Raw genomic sequence first — 22,262 nt, 5'->3', positions numbered from 1 at the left:
CACCCTATATGGAGGGTTGTCTTGACAGGTGTTACAATGGCTCCAGAATGAATCTTTTGCCTTGACGAACTCTGAGAGTGCAGGCTAACCCATATGAAGCCACTTCTCACTTAAGAACCAATTTGCCACGTTATCTCACTGGTTAAGCTTCTTAGGTGAGAGTCAAATCCCAGTATACTGACCTCCTAAACCCAAGGAAGTTATGTTAAGCTCTAGGTGCAGTCCCATTGAAGTTTCTTTTGCTAATTGTAGGTGATATGTAAGACTTCTCAACCCCTCTTCAAAGATATTCTCCCCCTTTCTAAATCTTTAGTCATCTAACTTTTGTATACCAGCATTATATTACATTATAGATAGGATTCAGGATCCTCAAGTTGGTTCTTGGTAATTTATTTGAATATTGCACACGTGGTCTAGCCTCCTTTGGAATCTCATTTTTATATCTTGGTGTCTTAGGACTTCCAATGTAACATTTTGTGCACATATTTCCACCTATAATGTATTTTACATTAGCACATGGCAAGATTTGATCTTCTCTTTTTTTAAACATCTCACTCTGAAATTACATGTCTTTATGGGAAATTAGAAAACTAATTCAATGAAAACCTTTATTTTGCCAGAATAATTTTTTAATACACACCTGTATACACACACATAAATCATATTTGTAAGTATATATGTATCTATAGACACATTATGTGGATGATGCATAATGAACACATGATGTGTATGTAGATACATACATACAAATATAGATATATATTATATCTCTATATTTAGAAATATATGAAATTGATGATTTGGAGGCACTTTCTGAGTCGTTTTTCCTCAAACTTTTTGAAAAAATTTTTAACTCTTGATGTGCTAGAGAGTATATTGGACTAGAAGTCAGAAAGTGTTCTAGTAATTTTAATAACAAGAATTAGCTCATAAAATTAATTTTCAAATAATTAATGCTTTATAATTATCCATTACATTTCTAAAGTACTTTACAACTCACAGTCCATTTGCATACACATTATTGCATGTCATTTTAGTTCTGCATGCAAAAAGCCACTTAGTTCTGCTCCTTGGGCATCACGTTTTGACCTCTTTTTCTTCATCTGTCAAATACCTTAGAGTCTCACGGATGAGTAAGACAGCTGAAATGCTTGTTCAAAGATTAAACTCAGGAGGGCCTCTTGTGTGTTTTACAGGATCAGATCTGGGTCCTTCCATGTCCACTTCCTGGTAGGATTCATTTATCCCACACCCTGCTGTCCATTTAGTCTTGTGAAGAAGAGATAAAGGGAAAGGCTGAACTCAGCTCTCTGTATAGCATAAAATCATTCTTTCTCCTCAGTCCTGGGATTCTGAGGTCCAGAATTGAGGAGTTTCTTGACAAGGCCAATAATGTCTTTACTTTGCACTATCAGATGGTCTTTTGAGTTACCTTTAGCCTGTAACGCCCTCTTCTTACACCTTCGCCTCCTTAAAACTGTGTTGGAAACCTGAAGTGTCTCTTCAAAAAGACATTTCTGAATTACCCAGCCAGAGTTAAATACTTCCACCTTTTGCCTCAATTCCTCTGTATAATTTTCCCTTACGCTTGTTCATTTCTTACTCCTGCCCCAAGAATGAGTGCAGTGAATATTTTTGATCTGTCATGAAATGGTTTATTTATCCCATATCAGTAATATTGCTTTATAACTGCAGCTTTATTAGTTTATCTTTCTCCTTAGAATAAGTACTTTTTTAGGCAGATACTGACTCTTGATATATCCTTATTCCTAATGCAATAGCTGGCACTTAGTAATTGCTCAATAAATGCTTGTTGACCAACTACATGAATGGATGAATGGTCCTGTTATTTAACCCTGTTTTAAACTCAGCACATTGTATTGTATCTCCTAAAAGGTTGGGGGCTTTAGGAGAATAAGGATTATTTAAATTTTTTAGTTCTAAATTTAAAATCTATATGTATACCTAACGTACCATTCATGGAGTGTATTTTGGTAACTGAGGGATGGGTAAATGAATGAGCAAATATGTGTACAGTTCTATCATGCAATACTTCTCAATACCGCACCCCCACCCCGAAAAAAAACTCCTTTGTTTATGAGGATCATTTTACTGTGAACAGTAGAACAACAGAACCTTTCAGCTCTTACTCTGCTTTCAAAAGAACATGCTATTTTAATGAAACATTTAGGTCAAAATTTTATTTGTATGAATCATCTCTCACTCTGCCACACACAACTTTTTCTGGGGATGAAAGGGCTCAATGTATATATAAGCATTTCTAAACTCCAAAGCACTCTAACTGTGTATAAGCCCCTGATACACAAAAAAAAATATTCCCATGTTTTTGGAGGGATGGGGTTGTTTGAGAAGAACATCTTTAGGGTTCTCTAGGTCACTTTTCGAGTTCTTTGTAGTTACATATTTATACAATCAATCTCAGGTGTAATTGGTCAGCATATTTAGCTAATGTTCTCAGAATATTCTGGAATGAAATATGTCAAGATTCTAAAGTGAGAAACAGATAACCAAGGAAGATGAGAGGTTTGGAGACATCAACCTGTCTGTTTTTAAAAGACTAAGACCCATTGATAGTTTTGTCTCTTAAGAGGACATGTTTTTAACGGTCAGCATTGCAAATCCCCGAATCCTGGTCTAGTCACATATCACTAATCTACAGGTATAAACATCCTGGATAGATGAATGAGACAGAAGGAAGGTGGGAAAGCTTTACCTTTTGTCACCAACTTCTATCTTAAATCTTTGCTTAGAGAGCTAGGTTCTCCCTTGAGGGAATTCTAATGTTCTCCCTTGATTTTTGGCTTAAGAATTAACTAAGAGTTAGACATGATAGTGTCCTTTCCCCTAGTGTTTATTCTGGTTCTAGCTGGGCTTCTAAGGAGCTGACCTCCTACTCTTTTGAGTAGGAGGTAGGCCCAAACTCTGTTATGCCACAGTGTACACATTAAATGTTAAAAACAAAAGATACTGAAGAAGGAGAATGAAGACTTCGAGGAAAAAGAATTTTAAATCCCTTTCCTTCTCCACCTGCTGTGGTAGGTTCCCTGATCCATGTTAGATCTTGCCTTCTTTAGAAGTAGAGCGAAGTGGTAGACAAAACATGAGGTTAGGATTTTCAGTAACCACACTTAAGTGGAAGGCTCTTTTGAGACCATCTAGTCTAGTGGTTGTGGATCTTTGCTAGCACTGAAACTCACAGGGAAATAACCATTTCCTGTTCATATTCCCAAGACCCTAAAAGATGTCTCATCAGTATATCAGAATGATAAATGATCTCAACTGCAGGGTATACCACTTTGGTAGATAAAACCAAATATTAAATTCTTGGTAGAACTATAAAGTTTGGGAAAGATCTTTGGGTAGATTTGGCTCTTCCTCTCTCCACATTGAATGATGGATCCAAGAAACTTTCTCATTTTACAGATGAGAAAAGTGTGGTCTAAAGTGTTAAAGTGAGTTTTCCAAAGTTCCACAGGTAGATCAATGGGAACACTAAACTAAAATCCAAGGTTCTAACTTCTGTTTCAATGTTTTTTGCTTATCATACAATAGGATTAAAGAATAATTTATGTTCACATGACATGTGTCATCACTAGTCTTTTTTATTTGTCTGGCCTTGTAAAATCATTGTTAATTTTCTTAGTTAAAACACGTACGAGAAGATCTTAGTGTCAGAAATCAGGTAATAATAGAAGGCAAAACAGAAACACACATTTCCATCTTTCTTTATCCCATGCTGAGCACCGCAGAAGTTGAAACACACCTTATTTATGCACCCGTCATATTTTGTGAATATGTTGTGTGTTCTCATTAGTAGCTTCCTTGCAAATTGTGATAATGATCTGAGGAGAATCTATATCTATTATCTGTGAATTAGGCAAAATACTAACACTGTTTCACAGTTGTGACTGTCAAGAGCATTTCATGGCAGCAAGCACATGGCCAAAATTAGCTTAAAATTGTGGTTATCTGACCAGTGTACCTTCTGTACTCTGCTGCTGCTGCTGCATATCATATTTTGCTTTAAAGAAATTGATCATGGAGATTGATGATATAAGTTTATTTTTATGATGACTTTATCCATAGTCACTCATACAGCATTTTAGGGCTTAGTGATGCCTTAAAAATAGATCAACCAAATAAAGTTGCTCTAAAAAGCTTACAAATCACAGGCAAAAATTTTAGTGTGATAGGAGTACTGAATTCAGTATTTTATTCAGTTAAATCAGAAATGTTAGGATCATTCATTAGATAAAATCAGATTGGATGATGACATGGCTTACCTCCCATTAAAGAGACAGTCTAAAATAACAGAGGCAACTTCTCATAAAAGAAAGAGCATACATGGGCACCAGAGTCAGCCAGAGTCTTGCTGCAATCTCAGAGATGCTGCTGTCTAGTAGGTTGAGTTTTAGCCAAGTTGCTTAACCTCTCTAAGTCTCTGTTTTCTCCACTAGAAAGTGAGCATAATACTCCTACTTATGTTTATTGTGGGGACTAGTAATAATATAATGTGTCCAGAATAGTGCCTTGCATATTTAGTTGTTCAGTAAATCACAGCTGTGGTTTTTATGGCGATTATTAATATTATAAGTATGCCTATATTATCACTGAGAATACAATGAAAAAAATAAAAGATAAAGTATGGCTTATTAAAATCTTTCCCCCCCTTTTGGACTAATCAGTTTTCATTATCAAAGGGGTGTAGCAGTATTGTTGGTGAAAGTAAAGCACTGTATTATTTTTAAAAGCCAATTAGAAGTAAATTTACAGGAATTACAACAAAAGTATAGGTTAACTAGAGATAAATTTCTTTTGTATAAAGAAGTGCCTGGAAAATGGTTTAGAATGTCAAATTTCTGACTCCTTGAGAAAATTGTTTTATTTCTCTGCACTTCAGTTTTTCATGTGATAAGAAGGCCTCTGAGATCTATCCCTTTCAACCCAACATTCTGGAGTTCTATGAAACACTCTAGAGAGAATCACCATCACTAGCTTATAGTCTGGAAACAGAGACAAATAAACAGCCATTCTATACCTTGACTCATGTGATCTTACAGGAGTACAGCATGTTTCAGGGTTGATTAGGAGCCTGGAAGAGAACAGTCAGCCTATGGGTTGTAAGAGTTCTCAGGTGGTTGGTATTGAAGCCTGGAAGGCCAGATGCTGAGACAGCCTGGTGCCAGAAACCTAGTCCTTAGAGTAACAAAAAAGGAAAAGGATAATTTCTTATGCTTTGATAAGAGTAGAAATTATGTACCTAGTTTTCTGCAGCATTGCACCAACAAAGCATTCTCTCTCTATGATTATAAATAAGGTAATAAACATATTGATAATAAACATGTCAGCTAGCATATATACATACTGGCCCATAATAAATAGAATATAATATAATTTTTACTTATTTGCAGCAAAACCAAGGCAGATGCCCAGCCCAGAATTGTTCAGTGGAAGCCCCTGCTTGGATGCCTGTCCACCACTGTACTGTAAGTTTGATTATTCCAAGATTAGCAGATTGAAGGATAAATGTTTTTATATTTTGGAATAATCTTAGTGGAATGAGCCAGAATGCTCTCTGAAATTCTGGAGTAAAGCAAATATTTTGCAAGGAGAAAGAATAATCTTTCAGAAAGCTTTGCATTATAAAAAATATCAGTGATTAGGGATTCCATGCATTTTGTTGGAGTCAGGATAACTTGGAAAGGATTGCTTTAAATGGGTTATTGATGAGTTAGAGTTGGAAGGTCATTAAAACGAATATATTTGCACATATGTTTTTCAGAATAGCTGCATATTCAGCAATACTTGATTTTAGATGCCTTGAAGAAAGATGCTCTCTCTTTTGTCACTGTGTCAACTGCTTAATAGTCATGAGCACACCAACTTGCAATTTTCAAGTCTTCCTGGTGTAATAATAGTCTCTGCATTTGCATAGTATCTTCTACCAGAGAATTTTCCAGTGCCTTAGAAACAAACAGGTACTATGTCATTATCCTTGTGCTACAGATGGGAGATTTCAATGCAAAGGGAGTAAGAATAGTGCATCAATTGTAGCACTGGGAACAGATCCCAGACATCCTACTTCTCCTTTCATGTACTCATGCTACTACTTCTGTACTCTGAAGTGTGTGAAGAAAGTGGCTGAATGTATGATACTCTGTAATACATGGATTGCCTAATAGAAATGACAGTGGTGTCTCTTGGAATTACGTGTACTGTAAATGAGTTTAGCTGTCATGAAATAATTTGTGTATGATGGAGACAAAAAATTAGAAAGTTACCTTTTGGAAATTCTCCTCATTTGACTCCCCTTGTAGGCAATGGAAAAGTAATATGTGGAGCTTCCTAAATATCTTTATCTATTGTTGAGGTACCATGTGCTGAAAGATACGACTGGACTGACATAACATGTCTTACAACTATGTTAGCAGTAAGCCTGGGGGAGCCTGATTTTCACTCAGATTGTGTAAGAGATTAAGCTTTTTTCCTCAGTTTTTGTTTATCTGTGGCAGGGGGGAGAAAGTGGGATCACCTTTAGTGAAGGAGAGATGGTGATGCTAAATTTTGGAGGTATTCCTGCAGTGCAGAGGGAGCCCAGATGTGCTGGAGACTCAGAGAATAAAAATGTTAATTTTTGAGCAGATGATCAGAGGAGAGTGCATGCTTAGGGACTACTTATGATAGAGAAAGGATGTGGTTTTTCTGTTTTTGGTTTTGGTTTTTATTTTTGAGACAGAGTTTTACTCTGTTGCCCAGGCTGGAGTGTAGTGGCATGATCTTGGCTCACTGCAGCCTCCACCTCCTGGATTCAAGTGATTCTTGTGCCTCAGCCTCCCCAAGTAGCTGGGATTACAGGTGCATGCCACTAAGCCCAGCTAATTTTTTTTTTCGTATTTTTGGTAAATAACGAGGTTTTGCCCTGTTGAACAGGCTGATCTTGAACTGAGAAAGGATGTGTTTTAATAATTCTATTATTTGTTCATAAATAGAACACTTCTTTTATTGTATCCCTGATGGTATCATTTCATAACTACTGATTCCTACATCTGTTTCTCCATGGAGACAATGTGCTCCTTGGGGTCCTAGTATATCCACAGCTAGTAAAATCCCTGGTACATGGCAGAAATTCTGGGAGTTAAGTTTCAATATGTGAATCTCCTATATGTTGATTTTTCTCTTTAGTAAGTTTTAATAAATTATTTCACAGCTCTCAGATTTCTTGGTAAAGAGGATTAATAATGGTATTTTACCCTCTTAGGCTGGTAGTTTCTATTTCTCCTCTTCATCATTCTTTAACACTTTTCTCCTAAGAGAATACCATAGAACGTGTGTTTTCAGAAATTTTGTTTTCAAGCTACAAAGTTTAGTAATTCCATTCAGTTGTGTCTAGTACTATGCCAATTGCTGGAAATATAAACATGAATAAGGCAGTAATCCTATGTAAATCAAACACAATCATGTATAATACCAATAAGAATTTCTGATCCTCTAATACACTGGTAATTTCAGCCCAAAATATTAATATAAGAACTTTCACATTTTATTACTTTGTGCAGTCTTGTTGCAAGGAAATTGCATAATTAGGATTCTGTCTTTTGAATTATTATAAATCGTTCATCTTTCATTATTCCCTTGGAGTTGAACCCCTTGGGATCTGGGAATCCCAGATTAGGTCCTAGTTGTATTGTAGAACCTTAGGAACAAATAAACAACTACATTTAAGACTCTTCCTGAAGATCACAAGTCAGAGCGCCAGCATTAAAGTCTTATTCTCAGTGCTGTGGTCAGGTGAGAGAATCAGAAAGTAGATGTTTCTTTTTCATTTCTGCCATAGAACTGGGGGCTACTGGTTTCATAAATTTACTTTGCTATTTACATAAAAGTAATTATATCTCCCAGTGAAACACATATTTTCTGAAGGAGTTGTGCAGCAGATACCGATCTGCTTTCTCTGCAGAGAACCCCCAGTCCACAGAGGTGGGCTCCCGATGGTCATGTTTAGATTATGTGAGCCTGCCCTTGGCCAGGACTGACTGATCCAGGAGGAAGACATTTGATTCCAGCAGGGCCAGTTGAATTTTTTTTTCCTGGGAATTTGAAATTTGTACTGGAGATATACCAAACTGGTAGTCATCAATTTTGAATCATATGAATGAGAACAGTTTGGAAAAAGTTATGTGAGGCTCAGTTGCTTAGACCTCTAAAGCTGCTTTGTATCTGCCCTTCTTAGGTATTATGTACTCAAAACTCTCTTGGAGTCTGTGAAATGGCCTCAATAACTTACAATCAATGTTACTTCTTTCTCAATTATTTAGATTTTGTTTTATTTATTTTTGATAGGGTTTGTTCTTTGATTTACTTGCAACCAAAAGGAAAAAGAAAATAGTTTAATACTACTAGTCAGCAATGTTTACTGAGTCTCCCCTAGAGCTAGTGTAATAAGTAGTAGTCTCAGAAAAAAGCACTAACACTGGGATTTTGATAATTTATAATCTATTTCAAATATCTGACTGCAGACAACACTTGGGTATATTTAAAAAATGATGAAATAATAATTTGATAATACCTTAATTCATCTTATAGAATAAAAAAAATGGGCGGTTAACTCTACAATTAACATACATATATTTATATAACCAAAAACTATGATATGTATGAAATTCTGGTATTAATATTCATTTTATAATCTCTCAGGAAATAGTGAAAATCTTCACCTTGTGCTTAAGAGAGTGTCTTGGCTGTCATAAATTCTCCAAGGACTGAAGAAAGTTATAAATAAATTAATTCATACTTACAGGCCTAATAAATTGATAGTCTCTATTATCCTTGTATATTTTTCAAATTCAGTTTATTCTCTCCTACATTCCTTTCTCCACTGTCCTATTCTTGCTCTTTGTTGTTCTACTCTGGAATGATTGTATCCTCATAATTAGGCTTTATTACATTTTGCAAAAAAGCCTTGGTTTTCATGTCTGCATTTGCCCCAAGTTCATTTTAAGTGCAGAACTTTTATCATTTGATTTCTGGCTCCTCCAGATTGCTTTGCAAATGTCTGTCACCAGTTACATATTGCCTTGAAAATGGCTTCTATTAACTATTTGTTCTCTTTCTTCCTGGATGTGTGTGTGTGTGTGTGTGTTTATTTGTTTGTTTTTTGGCCCTCGGCACCTATGTAGTAATGGGGCTGAGAGGCTTTTTTTTTTTTTTTTTTTTTTTTTTAAGACTTGTCCTTTCAGTAGTAACTATAATGTACAGATTGGGGTTTGAGCAGAAAAGAAATTATACTCCCCGTTAATTATTTAGAAACATGGACATAATTAAACTTTCTGAATACATGAAATATCTTCCCTAGTGAAAAGTGTGGCAGTTTGTTTCTCTCCTATCGTGCGGCTATATTAATCACTAGAATGATAGCCTTCCTTACCCTTACATTTTAAATTTAAATTGATTATATGCCTCATTGGTTTGTATGACCATGAATATGAACACAGTAGCTACCTGAGCTTCTGCCATCTGCAAACAATTGAGAAAATGTCCACAGTTTCTAGGACTCAGCTGAAGAATGATAGCTCTCTGAATCTGGGTGAACTAGGCTAAGAATTAGCATTTGGCGCTTGGAATTAAAGAACTTTGGATATGACCAACTGTAAGAAGCTTGAGTGGCTGCTGCATTTTAGAGCATATTTGTGAACCACTCAGTATGGCTATGGCCCATGCATGGATTTAATCATTTTGAGGAATATCCCCAAACCCAGTTCTGAATATCCTCAATTCTTAATTATTAGGTATACTCAGAAATGGCTATAATGTGTGGTTTTATCAATTAGACATGCAAAGTATAAATACACATGATTTGGCTACAAAAATTCTTTTGTTTTGTTGCATATTTGCACACCCCTTAGTTACTGGAAATTAATGCTGGGAAAGGAGTTTCTTAAAGCTAAGTTGACTGCTATTATGGAACTTATCATAGACATTGCTATATCTATAGGTTTCTATCACTATATAATACTATAAGCAGATAAGTGAAAAATTCTCAAATAGCATAAACATTTATAAATTAGAGCACTGAATTCTGAATATGTCAACTCTCATTTACTTATTCAAGAAGTAGTTACTGAACACGTATTTTAACTGACCCTTGGATTTCTCAATGTATAGCAGAAAACAATGTGTATAAATAAATCATAATTATACTTGGCAACACATTATTTAATAATGGTCTATAGAAAGCACTATACATTTTCCAAATGGGAAGTTGCCTTAAGTTGGATTTTGGAAGACAAAAGATGCAATATTTGGTCATAGTTAAGGGTACACCCTTTAGAATTGAATGAAATTTGTGTTAAAGTATTAACTCTTCCACTAGTAAGTGGAAAGAGTAAAGTATTACTCTTCTACTAGTAAGCTGTATGACCTTGGACAATTTACCTAATCTGAGTTTATGTACACAACAGGATATTTTGAGATTTACATGAAATAATGCATAATAAGTGTTAACATAGCACCTGGCACATAATTAAGTGCTTAGTAAGTGCTAGAAGGAAAGAAAGAAAAGGATAGGTCATTCCAGAAGGGAGTGCATGGGACAGGATAAATTGGTGAGAAAAAGCGTAAAAAACAGACAATAACCCAATAGTAAATCAGGGGTACTCATTTAGACCTGTGTAGGAGAACCTTTTCTGGAAAAAGGTTCTAGGAGTTAATATACAACTCTTTAAGACTTTGAAAGCAGAATCTTGCAGTTCTTGAAAAAGAAACTTTTTGTTCTATGACTGGCAGGAACCGATGACATAGGAGTGTCATATTAATGAGCGCTATTGATATTCTCAGCCATTTTCATTTCTGTTTGTATACAGCCATTTTTAAGGAGTGGGGCCAGGTTTTCCTTTTCATTTAAAAACACTTTAACATCTTCCTACTATGTCTCTCTAGAATATGAAAGTAATTTCTCTCTTTTATGGGAATCAGTAAAAACAGACACTTCTCACAGAAACCAGAGGAGATGTTCTTTTGAAGTGTTAATTGTTCCAGCATGCTCTCCCAGACTGCCTCACATTACCCACATTCAGGATCATTCAGTCTAATTGAAACCAGTTAATACAGTGTGCATAAGCTATTCTGCAATAGTCCTAAAGGTTTTTTTTTTTTTCTTTTTTTGGTAGTTCCTCCCAACCCTTTTTTTCCCAGAATGCATTGTGTGACCTAATTTGGTATACACCCTACATAAATACACAGACCATGGCACTCAGAAGCATCTAACCCAGTTATAAAATAGTGTTGTGTCTGCTCTCTGGGTGTTTCCAGAGCTTCTATGAAGGCAGCACCCTCTGGACTAATTCTGCTGCTGGGAAATTAGACCCAGAATGGCTTTGAAGAGTTGTCTTTCGAAAGACTACATACAATTTTTATTTTTTAGGGCAAGGTTTTCATGCTATCAGCAGTCCTCTTATAAATCGAAGCCAGGATATTATCAGATAATCATAGCTTTAGGAAAATTGCAGAAAATTGCAGCGTACAGGACCTTAAATTGGTGGGCAGTGGGATTAGAGTACATTTGGCCATACGGGTGGTAGCCACAGGACTGGAAAAGAATCCAGAGGGGAAATTATCTCAGAAAAGGCATGATTTACTTTAAGAAATGTGAGTTCTGTAGAGTGCCTCTAATTTCATTTTTGCTGTAGTCATGGGCTCTTAATCAATGAAAGTATAGAGAAGATGAGATTGATAGAATAGATATGTTGCTCTTTTCCCTAAGCTCTGGCCCTTACAGTATTTTAGACTTACACCAGTTTCCTATCTAGTTTTAAAGACTCTGCTGGGAATGGTAATACTCATATAAAATAATTTTGTTACACTGATCTTTGAAATATGCCCAGAAAGGGAACCCACAGTATTTATGGAGGGGGACATTGGTTCATGGGAAAGATGAAAGGGCATTCCCAGTGTGCACACATAAAACCTACACAGGAAATAAAACAGAAAACACATAGACATGTATTCAGCATGCCCTGAGCAAAGAAATGGAGGATGCAAGCCCTAAGGTTGCTGGCAAGATCTGAGAAACTAAGTGGAGGAATAGTGGATAGGCACACGGTAAAATTGATGTCATCAAAGTTTATGCTCAGTGTCCCCAGCTTCCTCTTTCTGTAATTTTTAATATTTTCCTTAGAATTTCCTCTTTATTCAACTTGACTGATTTGTGGACCTCAATATTCACCCACCTCTTTCTCCTTTCTCTCTCTGTTTTTTTTTTTTTTTTTTTTTTTTTTTTGCCATTCAGCCAAAGATCTAATAGAACACAGAATGAATATAAAACTTTATGACATTCTTCCTATGAGTGTTTGGGATTTTTTGTTTGTGCTCTTATTGTTGTTTTCCATCAGTTTTTTTGTTTTTCAATCCTTTAACAGTATCTCTGGAATATAATTCACATACCATACAATTCACCCATTTAAAGTATACAATTCAATGAATGTTAGTTCTTTCACAGAGTTGTACAACTATCACTCCAATCAATTTTGGGACATTTCTGGGACATTTTTATGACCCTAAAAGAAACTCTACATCCATTAGCAGTAATTTCCCATTCTCCTCCCAGCTCTTACAAACCACTAATCTACTTTCTGTTTCTATGGATTTGCCCTTTCTAGATATTTCCTATAAGCGGAAGTATGTAATATGCAGCCTTTGTGACCGGCTTTTTTCACTTAGCCTGATGTTTCCAAGGTTCGTCCATGTTGTACCATCCATTATTTCTTCATTATTTTGCTGAATAATATTTCATTGTATGAGTATACCATATTTTGTTTATCCATTCATCAGTTGATAGACATTTGGATTGTTTCCACTTTTTGATGTTATGAATAATGCTACTATGAATATTTTTGTGCAAGTTTTTGTGTGGACATGTATTTTCAATTCTCTTGGGTATATGCCTAGGAATGAAATTTCTGGGTCATATGCTAACTCTATGTTTAACTTTTTGAGTCCCTGTCAAACTGTTTCCCATAACATTTGCACCATTTTACATTCCTTCTAGCAATATATGAAAGTTTTAATTTTTCTACAGTTTCACAAACACTCGTTATTACCTATCTTTTGTATTATAACAATCCTAATAGGTGTGAGGTAGTATCTCATTTTGGTTTTGATTTTGAATTATCTATTGATTAGTGATGTGACCGTGTTTTCATGTACTTATTACCGTTTATCTTCTTGTTAAAATGTCTATTAAGATCCTATACCGATTTTTAATGCTTTTGTCTTTTTATTATTGAGTTGTAAGAGTTCTTTACATGTTCTGGATATTAGTCCCTTATCAGATATGTGATCTGCAGATATTTTCTCCTGTTCTGTGGGTTATCTTTTTACTTTTTGGTAATGGCATTTGAAGCATAAAATGTTTACATTTTGATAAAGTCTAATTTATCTTTTTTTGGTCACCTGTATTTTTGATGTTATATCTAAAAAGGCTTGGCATAACCCAAGGTCACAAAGATTTCCTTCTACATTTTCTTTTAAAAGTTTTATAGTTTTAGCTCTTGCATTTAGGTCTATCATCAGTTTTGAGTTAGTCTTTCTATATAGTATATATGGATATCCAAGTGTCGCAGCATCATTTGTTGAAAAATCTATTCTTTCCTCCATCGAGTTGTCCCTTCCCTTCTGTTGAAAATCAACTGACTGTAAGTATAAGTGTCCATTTATGGACTTTCAACTCTGTTTCAATAATCTTTATGTGTATCCTTTTGCCAGTGCCACACTGTCTTGATTATGGTAGCTTTGTAGTAAGTTGGAAATTTGGTAGTGTGAGACGCCAACTCTGTTCTTTTCCAAGATTGTTTTGGCTATTCTGGGTCCATTGCATTTTTGCATGCATTTTAGGATTAGCTTATGAATTTCTACAGAAGCCTGCTGGGATTTTCATAGAGATTTCATTGACTCTGTACATCAATTTGAGGAATATTGCTGTTTATCAGTATTATATCTTCTGATCCATGAATGTCCTTCCATTTATTAGAGTCTTCTTTAAATTTTTCTACAATGTTTTATAGTTTTTGGAATACAAGTTTTGCCCTTCTTTTGCTAAATTTATTCCAAAATATTTTATTCTTTTCAATGCTATTGTAAACAAAGTTGTTTTCTTAATTCCACTTTTACATTGGTCATTCTAGTGTATAGAAGTAAAATCAGCATTTGTTAATCTTGTATCAGCAACCTTACCAAACTTACTAGTTCTAATAGCTTTTTAGAAAATTTTATAGGATTTTCTAGATACTGTACGAGACTATGTGATGTGCAAATAGAGAAAGTTTTACTTCTTCCTTTTTAATCTGGATGCCTTTTATTTAATTTTCTTGCCCAATTGATGTGGCTAGAATCTTCAGTACAATGTTAAATAGAATTAGTACCAGCAGACCTCCTTGACTTTAGATGGAAAGTATTCAGTCTTTCATCACTGAACATGATGTTAACTGTGCAATTTTTGTAGATGTCCTTTATCAAGCTGAGGAAGTTCCCTTAATTACTAATGTTGGTTGTTTTTATTATGAAAGGGGAATTTTTGTTTGTTTCTTTTGATGTTTGTTTTTAATACTTAAAACTTTCATTTGCTAAAATAATGTATTGGCTTTCTATTGAGAATATTAAGAAGCCCTTTTCTAGGATTCCTGAGAGCATAATCTACCTACTCATAATCCATGCCTGACTTTCTCTGGGCTATTTTTCTATGACATAGCACCATTAAAGATTCTGAGTTGCTTATTTCTTGCAAGTGTTTAAAATACTTTCACAGACTTTATATTTACTCTGGGTTGAATAGGGAACATATTCTTACCTTGTTTGACAGATGAGGAAACTGAAACTCAGAGAAGTAAAATAACTTATTTTGGCAACATATCATCAGCACGTAGGGGAGCCAGAATGACTCCTTTGGATTCCCAATTTGGCTCTGTTTCTGATATTGTTTACTATCTCTATAGGCAAATTGATGCTCCTGAGTTAGCTGTAAAAATGATGAATTTAGAAGAGGCTTTTTTTTAATTAGCTATGCTTTGTATCGTGGAAGATGCCACATGGATTCTATGCATTGCAGTTTGACAGTATTGGAGTGTTGAACCACCATCTTGGCAGCCACAAAAGCACATTTGAAGGTCTTTCTTCACAGTACTGTTGGAACTGCTAATCTCATCTTATTTATTTGGAGAAGACCATGTATATAGCCACTGTATAAAGAGGGTTACAAGACTGACTATTTAGAAATTCAGCATGACCTACCATTCAGAACTGAAGGAATTTTAATAATGGGCTTTCTTTAAGGGGTTGCTAAGCTCTATCTTTCTGCTTCTTGGTTTCATCCTTTGTTGCAGTAATTGAATACGAAATGTTCTCCCAGAGATGGTTTCGTGACAGAGCTGTGTGCTACAGCATTATTTTTTCACAGGTTTGTACAAAGCTACTAATAGAATATGGTGATTCAATAATTTGTAAGCTATTAGGAGTACAAAATACCATAATGGGATGGAATCATAGTTTTTCCAATTCAGTACTTCTGTTTCTGTGTCAAAAAAAGTACCTGGAAGAATAGAGTACTTATTCTCTCTAACATCAACTTACAGGAGTTTGGGCTGTACTCAATATTTTACTTATTTAATACCCACAAACCTTAATTATATAGCATAAACTGAGAAATACTAAAAATGGCATTGAAGTGTACTAAATCAGTATTTCAGTGCTCACAACTAATTTACTGATAACTTATTCTATGATTTTACTGTATTGTCTTCTTAATATTTCTTAGGCATACATGTTTGAACATGAGAGACCCATAATGCCTTGTAGAGACTTTTCAGATATATCTCGTATAATCATGGCATTTTATTACCTAACCAATTAGAAAATCCAGGTAATGAGAGCAGGTGTATGGAAATTCAAGAGAGGACATTGCTGAAGCCTGCTATATTGGCAGTCAAGAGAAATGGCATCTGACAGCTTGGAAAGAAAGAAGTGTTAAAAGCAATAACAAGCTCTTACGCTTTATGATATAATTTGGTTCTGGGGCACTGGAATATTACAACCTTATATCTTGACTGACATTCATAAATGTTGGTCATGAGTCAACACATAAAAAACTAAAATTATTTCTAAAGCTGTTTTGGAGAAGACATCAGAATTACCTTTGTGTCTTTTAACTGTAGCTACCAAAAACATTTGCAAATTTAAAAATCATTCAAAATACAAAACTATATAATGCTCCAATAACCTTAATTCTCAGGATGATTCACGTTTATGAGCCTCTCTTTCTTTGACAGTTCTTAGATGACCAGGTAGCTGGCATGTTTCAGTTTATATAAACTCTCAGAGTAGCAGATTTTTCTCTTCTCTAACCTAAGTAACTGAGGCATTGGCTTGAGTTTGTGGTAGAGATGGTGGGGTGGTGTTGAAGGAAGGAGAGACTGATGGCAAAGCAGAGATCCCTGGTAATATGTGCAAGGAGATTTGCCTTGGGTGGTGTACTGTTACTGGTTATTAACAGTGCATTGGCATGCACTAGCATTACTTGGGCTTTTCAGTGTAGATAAATCTTTGTTCTTTTGATCTTTTCGGCCATCACTTAAGGGCGTATTGCATTGAAGTAAGGACATGAGTTTTGGAGTCAAGCAGACCTTGTTAAAATCGTCTTTTTCTCACCAGCCATATGACCTTTCAATATCTCTTTGCCTTACTTTCCTCATTTATGAAATAAAAATAATTACCTACATTGAAAGATTATTTTCAGAATTAGAGACAACATATAAATATGCCTAAATCAGTTCCTGTTGCATAGTAGGTGCTCAATTCATGTTAATTTTATTGTTATTATTATATTATTATTATCAGCACTAGAGAACTCTGAAGGTGGTTGCATTTAAAATCTATGTTGCCTCTCAAAGGCACTTGAGCAATGAACTCTCTCACAGCTTGACTTACTTCCACTTACCTCAGATAGTGTAAGATATAACTGAAATGTATGAAGTTTAGATGTTTATATGAGTTAATTTACTTAATAAGAGCATAGAATTTAATTTTTTTCTGATGGTGATTTCTTTTACAATTTCTATATCTTTGAAAGGTATTTCCTAACTCAGAACCATTGGTACGTTTGGTTTTGGCTACTTGAGTTCCTGAAAAGTATTTTTGGAAAATATGTTCTAGCCTTTGGTGATGAAGGAGCCTTTAGAAGCGCAAGTGATTGGTTTGGTTATGGAGTGCCAGGTCCAGTGCAATTATAATGATTTTTTTCTAGATACAAAGTAGGTGAATGTCTTGTGAACTCTCCTGGGCATCTCTCCCTATCTATCATGTTCTCTTTTATCTGGTATTGTTAGACCACTGCGGAACAAACACGGACATCATCAAGTGCTCTTAATTTGGGTATTGGTGGCTATTTATAGACCAGCTACAGATATGGGGACATTAATGACAGCTCTTCCAAGCGAATAATCCCACTTGAAAACTTCATACTGCTTATGTCTCTTTAAGAAAGCTTTTCCTACAACATTCAGGAGATGGGTACTTCACACAATTTAATGTTAAAATAGAAGGCCATACAACATATGAACAGGAGTATACTCTTAGTAATAATTATTACAGACTTTTTAAAATGTTTATTCTTTATGTTTTTTGTACTTATAAATTATCTATATCAAAGCTAGAAATTCAAGGAAATAACAAAGAGATGTTGTTAATGTGCCTGAAGTATATAAAAGAGACATGGAGGCTTTCTTGTCAATGACTTGCTTGCATCTGCTTACTGTTCTGACTTTTTGTTCTGCTTTTCTGATTGTGCTCATACTATGCTCAGACTCACCTCATTAGATCTAGCCTCAGGTAGTCCACGCAGCGAAAGCTGTTCCACAAGGCCATGTCTGTAGCTACAGCCAGCTTCCTACTACCAATACAAAGCAGGACTCAGTGCCAAACTTCATGAAGCAGCCTCCAGCTACGCAGGAGCTCTGCAGATTTGTACAAAATGTTTGGACAAACTTTGGCCCGAAGAAAACTTTTAACAGCACTTGACACAAGAATGGAACATTAGTTGCTGTAGCTCCTCAAGGAGGTCCTGTTTGGCAGCAGGCAGCATAGTCCTTTGCCTGCCTTATAAAATTATAAGCCTAGATTAATGTACTGACTCCCTTGCTTCAGCAACAAGAAGCATCTAATCAAAACCCCAAACCTGAGCATGACTGGAGCAGGTGGAGAAGGGATAGCAGTGAGGGAAAATATGTACAAACATTTGAATATTTCATTGGCTGGTCCATATATTTTCATCCAACTCAGAACAAACACCTAATTAAAATAATTAATGGCATTCACGTCTGGATTGGCTAAACCTATCAACCTATGGTAAAAAAAAATAAACATGATAATTGATCTTGAAGGCTATTTCAATTTACATTTTGTAGAAGCAAAATTTTTGCATAATGTAATCACATTTAAATATATCCTCTCTTTAAAGATGCTAATACTTTGTTGAAAGAGTCAGTTTGTTTCTGCAATGGATTTGGTCATATACCATTTTTCTTTAAGTTGTATTGGCATTTACATTAAAAAGTTGTACTCTGTTTATAACTTTGATGCAAAAATGCATTCTGGGCTAAAACTTAATATCTAAAATCTTTGTCCAAAAGCAGTTTTCTAGAGTACACACGGAATGGCCGTTTTATGACTCTCTGAAAGCTTGAGGTCTATAGGAAGATCTATACAAAACCAAAAAAAGAATCTCATCTAATCCAGTCCCTGTGCATTTGGACAGTGCGCAGAATCTGGAAAGAAACTGGGCTGTGGAAGGGAATACAATCCTCTCTGTCACCAAACTGTAGAATCAAGGTACTTAGGTTTTATTCTTCGTTGCACTATATGAAGTACACTGGAAAGAGCATGGACTTTGAAGTCACTCAGTACCGGGTTAAAATCCTATCTCCACTGCTTACTTAATTTAGGAAATGTCTTAGCCTCTTTGAGTCATCTCTGTGATTGAATGAGATGATAAAAGTAAAACTCCAGCACATACTCTCTTCAGTCCTTATCTTATGATTTATAGTGTTGTTTGAAGCTATTCATTGATTTCCTATCCATTGATTAGAGTACTTATTCTGAGAGCTTATTTTTAAAGAATGGCTTTCCTTTCATGTATGTTGCCCAAACATAACATATTAAGTCAAACAAATGATGCAACTAATTCTACTCTACCCCTAAAGAGGGCAAAATATTGCATGCAGAGTAAGGACAACTCACATAATTTTAGAGCAAAGAGAAAATCACCACTTTCCTCCTCCAAAATCCCAGGTCTAGGGACTTTCTTGGCCTTCTGGAGCCTCATACTATGTATACAGAATAAACTAAAAGTGTCTTCAGTCATCATGACCAGACATCTGGTAAGCCTGTGGCTGAGGAGAGCCCTTGGCAACAGAAATACAGCTTTTTGTAGGATACAGGAAAATCTTCTCTTTACAATTGTCTGAAGAAAAAACAATGGAAAAGAGGAAAATCTTAAATTTCTTGTCCTCAGAACTGTTCTGTTGCCCATAGCTAGTTTTTCATTGCAACCTTTGTTAAACAGCCTGAGTCTTCTATAGCTCATCACCATTATTCATTTTGCTCATTCAAATCTGTGTATACATCTATCTTCCCTCCTTTATTAATTCAATATATATTTACAGGGTGCCTGCTATGTCCCAGGCATGGTACTGAGAGGTGAAGCCAACTGAGCTTCTGAGTCGGGTGGGGACTTGGAGAACTTTTGTTAGGCCTGCTAGTCTGAGGAGAGATCCTAAAATTCCAGATAGTCCCCTGCCTGACGGGGCTTTGGGCAAAAATTATGTCTTTCTGATTGGTGAGCCCGGGTGCCTAAAGAAGGGAATAGAGTCTTGAGGTTTATACTAGAAATCATTCTTATAGGAGAAACTAAAAAAGCACCAGAGACAGGAAGTGGTTTTTAGAAGTGGAACTACCCTGGGAGATGAGAGAAGAGAGGCAAGAGGAAGTTTGTCTGACAGGCGTTAGGACCCAGGAGGCAAGGCTCAGAATAGATAGGATAGATGGGTGAGTCTTGTTTGGGCCACATGACTTTTAGAGTTCTGCTCATGGCCGCAGGGTCAATCAACTTGTTGTTGGGACCCCGGAGTTGAATGGCTTTCTTCTTTGTCGACCCTTGGCTCAGCCCAGAAGTACAGGAAAAGCGGAAGATAGTTCCAGGCAAACCAAATCAGGGGTTGTTAGAGAGCCCTTTCCCAGATAGCCTGACACCCGTGTCTTTAGTCCAGTGGCCACGCTAATCTCTTTTAACTGGTCGACAGGTGTCTGGTATTTAACCCCCAAATTCTAAGGAAAAATAGGACAGAATGGCAAGCGAAAAGGGTCTGATGGTACTCATCGCTTGGTGATAGGGGATAGTCCCTTCGTGGTCGCCAAAATGTGTCCCTTCATGGTCGCCAAAATGTGTCCCATCTGGGTTGCCAAAATGTGACTAGAGTTTATTCCTTCTGGTGGGTTCTTGGTCTCGCTGACTTCAAAAATGAAGCCACAGACCTTTGCGGTGAGTGTTACAGCTCTTAAAGATGGTGTGTCCAGAGTTTGTTCCTTCAGAGGTGCCTGGAGTTTCTTCCTTCTGGTGGGTTTGTGGTCTCGGTGACTTCAGGAATGAAGCCGCGGCCCTTTGCAGTGAGTGTTACAGCTCTTAAAGGTGGCGCGTCTGGAGTTGTTTGTTCCTCCCGGTGGGTTCGTGGTCTTGCTAACTTCAGGAATGAAGCCACAGACCCTTGCAGTGAGTGTTACAGCTCATAAAGGTAGTGTGGACCCAAAGAGTGAGCAGCAGCAAGATTTATTGTGAAGAGCGAAAGAACAAAGCTTCCACAGCCTGGAAGGGGACCCGAGCAGGTTGCCACTGCTGGCGCGGGTGGCCAGCTTTTATTCCCTTATTTGGCCCCGCCCACATCCTGCTGATTGGTCCACTTTACAGAGCACTGATTCGTCCATTTTACAGAGTGCTGATTGTCCCATTTTACAGAGTGCTGACTTATTCCATTTTACAGAGTGCTGATTGGTACGTTTACAATCATTTAGCTAGACACAGAGTGCTGATTGGTGCTATTTTACAGAGTGCTGATTGGTGCATTTACAATCCTTTAGCTAGACACGAAGGTTCTCCAAGTCCCCACCTGACCCAGAAGCTCAGCTGGCTTCACCTGTCAGCATGAATGAGGGTGCTGGTGAAGAAGAAGAGAAATGAATTAATTTGATATATTTGGGAGTGAACATGCCAAGGCATGGAGATGAATTTTATATGAGTGCTGTAAGAGGAAGGGCAGTATTAGAGATTACTCCTAGCTCCCTGGTGTGCATGAAACTGTGTGCAGAAGTGTCATTTACTGAATTTGGGAACTCTGGAAAAGGTTCATTTTAGGTATGGTAGTGGGAGGATAATGAAATCTATTTTGAAAAAGTTAAGTTTGAAGAGTCTTTAAGATGAAAGTAGAGATGTCAATTGGCCTGTGAAGAGGGATAGGAGCTGGTACCAGCTAATAAATGCTAGGTCAAGGAAAGTATTTTTTTTTCAGAGTGAAAAATGAGCATATTTAAGAGCCCATAGGACTGAAAAAACAACTGAATTAAGGACTGAGAAGTGTTCAGTAGATTATTTAACAAGAAAGTCATTGTTACAGTAGTTTCAATAAAGTGGTAGGGATTGAAGAGCAAATAAGAGAATGTTTACAATACAAAAATGACTCATTTTATTGCACCTTCACTTTACTGAATTTCACAGATACTGTGTTTTCTACAAATCAAAGATTTGTGACAATCTTGTGTTTAGCAAGTCTATTGGCAACATTTTTCCAACAGCATATGCTCACTTCATGTCTCTCTGTCACATATTGGTAATTCTTGCAGTATTTCACACTTTATTATTATTATTATATCTGTTACGGTGATACATGATCAGTATCTTCAATGTTACTATTATGGTTGGTTTGGGGTGTCATAAAATGTGCCCATATAGGATCAAGAACTTCACTGATAAAAGTGTGTGTTCTGTCTCCTCCACCAAGTGGCCATTCCCCTGTCTCTGTATCTCCCCTTGAGCTTCTCTGTTTTTTGAGACACAACAATATTGAAATTAGGTCAGGTAATAACCTTACAATGGCCTCTAAGTGTTCAAGTGAAAAGAAGAGTCACACTTCTCTCACTTTCAATCAAAAGCT

General features: G+C 36.3%; 1 protein-coding gene across 21 annotated transcripts in view; it reads left to right on the top strand.

Moving 5' to 3' along the window:
- The window catches only part of DLG2 (discs large MAGUK scaffold protein 2), a 2,173,362-nt gene that overhangs the window by 511,206 nt on the left and 1,639,894 nt on the right, over positions 1–22,262 (top strand). For 14 of the 21 annotated variants that reach the window (XM_017017256.3, XM_047426494.1, XM_017017257.3 and 11 more), the window contains one exon: positions 5,433–5,507. The exons of the other annotated variants lie outside the window; for them this stretch is intronic. In XM_017017256.3, coding sequence (XP_016872745.1) covers positions 5,433–5,507 — 75 coding nt within the window. The remainder of the gene's footprint in view (positions 1–5,432; positions 5,508–22,262) is intronic. 21 annotated transcript variants of the gene reach the window in all.

Source organism: Homo sapiens, chromosome 11 (assembly GCF_000001405.40).
Source record: "Homo sapiens chromosome 11, GRCh38.p14 Primary Assembly".
NCBI classification, from domain to species: Eukaryota; Metazoa; Chordata; class Mammalia; order Primates; family Hominidae; genus Homo; species Homo sapiens.
The sequence above is the reverse complement of the archived record's forward strand: the minus strand, read 5'-3'. Positions and strand labels throughout refer to the sequence as shown.